The sequence below is a fragment of the Homo sapiens genome, chromosome 2 (assembly GCF_000001405.40).
Source record: "Homo sapiens chromosome 2, GRCh38.p14 Primary Assembly".
NCBI classification, from domain to species: Eukaryota; Metazoa; Chordata; class Mammalia; order Primates; family Hominidae; genus Homo; species Homo sapiens.
This window is the reverse complement of record NC_000002.12, coordinates 139991486-139999406: the sequence shown is the minus strand read 5'-3', so window position 1 is coordinate 139999406 and position 7921 is coordinate 139991486. Positions and strand designations below refer to the sequence as shown.

Sequence of the window (7921 nt, the reverse complement as noted above, 5' to 3'; positions counted from 1 at the left end):
TGTTGTGAAAAAGGGTAAGATTGGGGCCTCATTTCTTCCCATATGTAGAATGTGTGTTTGTGCAGCAATGTGCCTGTATCAGTGAGTGAAGTTTGAGAAAAGCAACGGAGAGAATTTGGAGTTTAAGATATAATCCCTGCTCTGTGCTGCTCAGAAATTCAGTTGATTTGGAGTATGTGGGCAGGCACTGATTGTCATAAAAAGGGAAAAGTAAGGGACAAGACATCAGGAATATGAATGAAGGAGAGAAAACACCCATCTCCTAAAAACCCTGAAGCTCAGAATTATAGAAATGAGTATGTTAGTATAAGATTCAGCAGCAAAAAGAGAAGGTGAGCTATGAGGAGAAGAAATATTATGAAGGGAGTTCTTCTCCTCCTTGCTCTTAATCCTCACTGGTTGAAAGATATCTGAGAGACTGAAAGAGAGCTGGGAAATTGCTGATCTCTACCCAAGTTGTGTGGCCTTTTCTCTTCTTGAGACAGAGAAAATCTAGAAATCCTACTAGGCAGCTCCTTGAATGTGAAGAAAGAGCTATTCAGCTAAAGAACACCTGAGGGCATTAGTTAGTAAAAGCACTGGGGGACAGTGTTTTAGACCAGAGCACGGTCTTTTGAGGTAGGGGGACATGAACATCCAAAGATGGAAATTAGACAAGACATGACCGGAGTCTTCAAAGACATCAGGTAGTAACATGGCTGGTTCTGACTAACTTTGGGGGGAAAGCAATTCCCTAAAAGCAAAGAACACAGTTTGTTTAGTGACCAAGAAGAGACATGTTTTCACCTCCATCTCCACCAAAACCAAACTTTTGAGCTTTATTTTAAAATCCAATAGACATATTGGTAAGGAAGTGAGTGAAGGAGATTGTAGAATTTGGTTTTCTTTCTGGTGAGGTTGAATTCCTTCTCCTGGATATAGTATCATTGTATAACCAAAGGGAAAGAAGAAAAGAAAAGAAAAGAAAAGAAAAGAAAAGAAAAGAAAAGAAAAGAAAAGAAAAGAAAAGAAAAGAAGAAAAGAAAGAGAAAGAGAGAGAGAGAAAGAGAGAGAGAAAGAGAAAGAAAGAAAGAAAAAGAAAGGAAAGAAGGAAAGAAAGGAAAGAAAGAAAAGAAAGAAGAAGAAAGAAAGAGAAAGAGAGAGAGAGGAAGGAAGGAAGGAAGGAAAGAAGGTCAAGAACAGCAATTCCATATAAAATCATTTTAGTTTCAGGAAGTAATTTACAAATATCTTATTACAATATTCAACAATGCTTCTAAAATAGGACATAATTAATGATATTATACAGAGAGGACCTCTTATTTTTATTTGGATAATCTTACATTTTTCCCAAAAACATTCATTTATATTTTCAAAATTAATCATGAACCTGTCAAAATAGGAAAAAAATTGTATTTGTTAAGTATGTTTGCTTTTTCATTTCCAGTGTAGATATGACATTCTTTGCCAACGAGTACATATTTGGGTATTTTACTTATCACTAATTCTTCTTAAGTTTGAATTCTCAGGCTATGCACATTTCAGTTTACAATGATTTGCCCAAACCATTCTCATAATTCAGAGTATAGGAACGAGAACACAGTATTGTATAGCTTTTGTCAGGATTTAATTTAAATAACAAGTATTAAAGACATATAATACAGCACCTGGAACCTAACAAATACTCAGTCAGTGTTTGCTAAATAAGAAAAATAAAACAGAATTTATGGTTAGAGATTCCTGGCCTTCTGAAATCAAGAGAAAAATATGGAAACTGAATGGCTTCCTTAAACAAAAAGACAATTCCAGCATGAAAATGTTATCTGGATTCTGAATTACTTGACTTTGTAAAGTATTGTTTTACGCATCTTCCACAGCTAACCCCATACTAATTTAATTATTTAAAAGGTAAGACACTTATTTTAAAATATTATAACTGATTAAAATGAATTAATCATGTTTATTCATCACTTTGCCCAACTTGCAACTACCAATACGGGTGCATTATTTCACAAACACATTCTACATGTGAGAATAAAGTGAAGCCCAAAGCTTACTTTATTTCTCAGAACAATCATAAATTTATACATTCACATTCTATTCCATTTGTAAGCAAATAAAAAAGAAATGCTTCAATATAGCAATATGTGAAATTTTCATATTTTTTGTACAGATTGATTGCTAGGTTAGTTTAAGAAGCTAATGCTGAGGAAAATTCCAAAAAGGCAGTAATTGTAAGAAATACTTTCATTTTATATACATTTACTTGAAGAAAAAGGAAGAATAATGTGTGTGGAGGGGAAGGTTTGCAGAGGAGTCAGTTTTAATAAATGCAAACATTTTACCAGAGTCTCTAATAAATGATTGCTTTTTTTAAAAATCTGCATGTATTGATAAGTATGGGGAAATTACCTCTGCAGCTCTTACAATACCCAGAGTTCTGTACTTACTGGTTCATACAGTATTTCATTTCTTTCACATATTTGTTTTATGCCTAGTGAACACTGGGTGGGGGGACCAATCCCATTGCAATTCAGACCTGCTCCAGCAATTACTATTCCATAGAATGCCATGGCGATGAATTTGTGGAGTGTGGCCCCTGGTGCCAAGCATTGTTCTAGGTACTGGTGATAGAGCAGTGAGCAGAACAGACAAAACCCCACTCTCTGGATCATAAGTTCTGAATGGAGAGGCATACAATGCATGAGTTAAGTAAATAAAACATATAGTGTGTTAGGGCTACAAAAGTGCTAGGGACAAATCTAAAGCAGGGGAATATCCCGAAAGTGCAGGAGCTGAGCAGAGGGACTTTGAATATGGTGTGAAAGAGCTCTGAGAGAAGGCATCACTTTAGTAAAGTTGTGAACAAAGACAGCGAGCCATGCTCCCTCATCTAGAGGAAGAGCACTCTCAGGAGAAGGTGAAAGGGCCAATGGAAAGGTCCTAACATGGGAGTGTGTCTGGGGTGGAACATCCTAGAAATAGTGACAAGGCCAATGTAGTCAGAGAAAAATGAGGCTGGATCAGAGACAGTAGAATCAAGTTCAGAGAGGTCAGGGGAAGGAATCAGCTAGGGTCTCGAACTTCATCAGGACTTGGGCTTATAATCAGGGAGAAAGAAGCATTCTGGGATATTAAAAAAGAAACTTGAAAAGGTCTGATGTGTTTTAACAGGGTAACTCTGGCTGTTGCATTGAAAATAGTCTGTAGGGTGACAAGGGCCGAAACAGGAAGAATAGTTGGAAGCTTCTGTAACAGTGCAAGTCAGAGACAATGAAGACTCTCCCCAAGGCAGTAGCTATGGAGTGAAGAGTAGCAGCTGTCCCCAGAATATATCTTGAAATTAGAATCTACTTATGAATTAGATATTTAGTGTCAGAGAAGGAGCACCATCAATAAATAACTGAACAACTGAGAAATCAAGTTGTCATAAACTGAGATGAGGAAGGTGGAAGAAACAGATGAGCTGAGGAACACTGTTTTGCACGTTAAATTTTAGATGCCTATGAGATGTCTATGTTGGGTGCTGACAATAGCCACAGAAATTTGTCTCTCTTTTTGTGGTGATCCTGAGTTAAACTCAACTTATTAAATTGGTAATTGATACTGTTAATATATATTTCGCTTTCTTAGGAACTTTTGCATTCCACAGATACTTCTGTAACCTGGAATAGTACTTGGCCAAAATTATAGTCTTACTACCACTGGGTTTTTCATATAGAATACCCAGAGAGAAATAAAACCCTGGAAAAAGTCAAAGCATTTTATTGGTAAAATTTACTGCTTTTTCTTCCTTGTGGAAAAATAAAAGTTCTTTAGTGTATTTTAAAAACAAAATGTCTATAACGTAAATTGAATATTTTGCTATATTTAACTATACCATAAATTAATATATTTGATACTTTAAAGTATTAAAATATGTTTGCTTCTAATGGGAAAATATTGCTGATTCCTTCCTTCCCAGACCGCTCTACACACACATACACAAGTTCACATGTTAGTCTACGGGAATTTTAAAGAGTGATATTTGATGCTATTTCCTCATTAGAAAAAACTTTACATCAGAATTGCTTCTATAGTTAATCCACTTCTAAAGCAAGTATTTAGGAGTTTTTCAAATGAGATGGTACAAACTAAACTTCAAGTCTGAGCTTACGTCACCAAGATATAATTATAAATGCCAAGTAAAATAAATATGTGCTGTCTTGACTCTTTTAAATTAGTATATTGTTTAATATTTTATAACACAGATGTCATTGATAAAAAATGACTTTATTTTTAAATATTTTCATTCAACTGATAACTATCAAATCTATAAAGGTTAAATAAGATATATACTCTCATCTCAAAGACATAGTAATAGACATTAATATTAGACAAAGTGTGATAAATCCCACAGAAAAGCTTTTAAGAGACAAGAGTTTCAGGGGATAGAAAGATCATACCTGAGAGGGAAGATTAAATAAGGACACAGAAAGTTGGCAAGACATATTTTAAAATACAAGTGGATTTTCAACAGGCAGAGATGAAGGTCGGGGAAAAATTAGCTGGAGAAGCTATATATTCTAATAATTCAATATTATATATTTATAACACCTGAATAACTCAAATACTTTGATAAATAAAATGAATCATTCTCCAGATATATTATACGACAGAAATATTTTTATGCTATTGTCTTGGATTGCCCATTTTTTCTTCACTGTATATGTTCAATAAAATATTCATCTGCCTAATTATTGGTGAAAACATAGCATCTTTAAAGCAAACATACAATTAGAATTATACATTCAATTTATCCTGAGGACTAGCATTAGTAGTTATGGTTTCATCTGAAAGTAATGCCTACTTGGTTTTCATCCACTCGTGACAGGCAGCCCCTACCCATGATCCCCTCTATCTGGTATTCATGTCTTTAAGTAATCCCCTCCCCTTGGAGCTGCTGATTGGCTTGTAATGAATAGAATGTAGCAAAAGTGTTGGGATGTTACTTCTGAGAATAGCTCATATAAAGGTTGTAATCTCTATTATGGACACTTTCTCACTGGCTCACTCTGAAAGAAGCTAACCACTATTTTGTGAGCAGCCCTATGAAAGCAATACATGACAAGGAATGAACAGGTGTTTCTGACCAAGAGCAGCAAGGATCTGAGGCCTGTGGCAGCAACATGAATGAGATTGGAAGAGAATCCTCCCCAAGTTGAGCCTTGAGAGGACAGTCTCCCCAGCTGACACCTTACTGAAGCCTGTGAGAAAGCCTGAACCAGCTGTACCCAGACTCCTCCTCTATGGAACCTGGGGGAAAATAAATATTGGTTTGTGCTAAGCTGCTACATTTTGGGGTAATTTTTTACATAGCAATTGATAAGTAAAACAGTATAATTTTCTCTAATAGCACAGGATTTTTTTTTTTTTTCCAGAGTCTCATTCTGTCACCCAGGCTGGAGTGCAGTGGTGCAATCCCAGCTTACTGCAGCCTCCGCCTCCCGGGTTCAAGCGATTCTGCTGCCTCAGCCTCGCGAGTAGCTGGGATTTCAGGTGTGTGCCACCATACCCAGCTAATTTTGTATTTTTAGTAGAGACGGGGTTCCACCATGTCAGACAGGCTAGTGTCGAATTCCCGACCTCAGGTGACACACCCGCCTCGGCCTCCCAAAGTGCTGGGATTACAGGCGTGAGCCACCGTGCCCGGCCTAGCACAGGATATATAACCAACATTGTAACTTTATCTTGTGCCTTGTCCCAGTAATCAATTTACAGGTTAAAGGTCCCTGAAATATTTTCTTTCTAAATAAAATTTTCCTTCTAATTTAGACATATGCATAATCATATCAGAAACTATAAAGAACAAATGGAATGTCACCCATCACTCACAGATAATATTTCTTGGTTATTACACAAAACTTGGTGGAGTGCCAAGATGGCTGACTGCAAGCAGCCAGTGTAGGCTGCTCTCATGGAGAAGACATAGAGTGGTGAGTAAACATTGGCTCTTTGGCTGGATTGTCCAGGTGGACATGTTGGGATTCATCAAGGAAGCAAGGCAACCCATGGGGAACAGAGACGAGCAAAACAAGATATGCGTCCACATGGGATTGGTGCAGAGCCAGTGGGGAGGATCCCACTGTGGAGAAACAGTGAGTAAGTGAGAGCCCCAGGGCACCCACACTTTCCCCATGGACCTTTGCAACCCTGGACTCAGGAGATCCTCCACGATGCCCCTCCACCAGGGACCCCAGACAGACATGGAGAGCTACATGAAGTCTGGGGTGAGCCACCACTCAAGCACACGTGGGGTCCTGGGGCCTTGGACCCGTGGGCCACCATAGCACCAGTGGCTGCTGTAGCTCTGAAAACAGGGAAGGCCAGGCTCCCTCGCACAACCCCAGGATAGGGGCTATATCCATGGGGCTGAGGAGCAGACAGACTGCAAACCTCACTTCCACTGCACTTTGCCAGACAGGGCCCATTGGCCTGGGACCCTAGCTTGGCCAACCCAGCCCCACCTGACCTCTCTAACAGGTAGCAGCCCTGCCCTTCCCTGGGACAGAGCTCCCAGCAGTAGCATGCAGGCCACCATTGTTCCTGCTCCACAGCTCCCACCCCTGCAGCCCTCATGCTCGGAAGGAAGCAAAAAGATTGAGGACTAACACAGGCCTCCAGCACAGTGCAACTGCCTTACAGAAGAGTGGCCAGGCTGTTTTCCATGCAGGTCTCAGCTCCCGCTACTCCTTACTAGACAAGGCCTCCCCACCTGGAACCCCAGCCACTGAAAACCCTAGCCCCTGAGAACCTCAACAGGGTTCTCAGGCCAGTAGCAGTTCTGCGGCCCTGCACTTCCTTAGAATGGAGCTCCCAGCAGCAGCAGGCAAGCCACCATTTTTGCTGGTCCGCAATTCCTGCCCCTGCTGCCCTCGACCTCGAAAGGGAGCAAAGAGATTGGGGACGGACACAGGTCTCCAACAGTGAAGCAGCCTTACAGAAAAGCGCTCAGACTGTTTTCCACATTGATGTCTGCCAGTGTTACTTCTCACTGGGCAGGACTTCTCAACCTGGGCCCCCATTACAACCACGCTGCACTCACCTGAACATTTCAGTAGGTGGCAGCTCTGAGTTTCTCTGGGGAGGGAATTCTGTAGACAACGCACAGCCCCTCTCTCATTGCGGCTGCAGCGGTACTGCCCTTACTGCCCTCCAGCTGGTGAAGGAACAAAGGGCCTGGTCATGTTGCTAGCATATCCAGCATGCCACAGCCACCATATGAGGAGGAGCCCAGTCTCTGTTCCGGTGAGCCCCCACCCCCTCCTCCTCACTAAGCAGATCCCCAGGTTGGGAGTGCAGAGCAGCCACCCCACCCCCAACTGAGCATTCCCACTGGTAGTGGCTCTGTTTGCCTGGGGTGGAGCTCCCAGAGGTAACAGCTCCTCTGCCACTGCCACTGTGGCTATTCTGCTCTTGCTGCCCTCTAACTGAAGAAGGAACGAAGAGCCCGAGGACTTTAGTCACACCTCCAGCACATGATAGTCACCATATGAAGAGGAGCACAGTCTTTCTATGAGCCCCTGATTCCCTGCTCTTCATCAAGCGGGGCCCACAGCTCGGGCCCACAGCTCAGGCCCACAACACGCTGCCCTATCCCTGCCTGAACATTCCCATTGGAACAACTCTGTATGTCTCTGGAGTGGAGCTCCAAGAGGCAACTGAAAGCCCCTCTGCCACTGCCAGCACAGTGGTACTGTCCTTGCTGCCGGTACCTAGGGAAGGAACAAAGAACCCGAGTGCTTTCCTCACACCTCCAGCACACCAAAGCTGCCCTAAGGAGAAGAGCCCAATCTGTCTTCCCCGTGAGCCTCTGGCAAACCCTGCTCATTACCAGACAGGGGCCCCTGGCTTGGGCCCACAGTGCAGCTGTCCCACCACAGGTCAATCACTCTGATTGGTG

At 41.6% G+C, this 7921-nt stretch overlaps 1 annotated feature.

Annotated features, from left to right (window-relative positions):
- Positions 6508-7008: an enhancer, noted in NCBI's record as "H3K27ac hESC enhancer chr2:140749968-140750468 (GRCh37/hg19 assembly coordinates)". NCBI's record gives its function as "activates a minimal SCP1, AML or CMV promoter by ChIP-STARR-seq in naive H9 embryonic stem cells {active_cell/tissue: H9 hESC(naive)}" and the evidence as "EXISTENCE:reporter gene assay evidence [ECO:0000049][PMID:30033119]".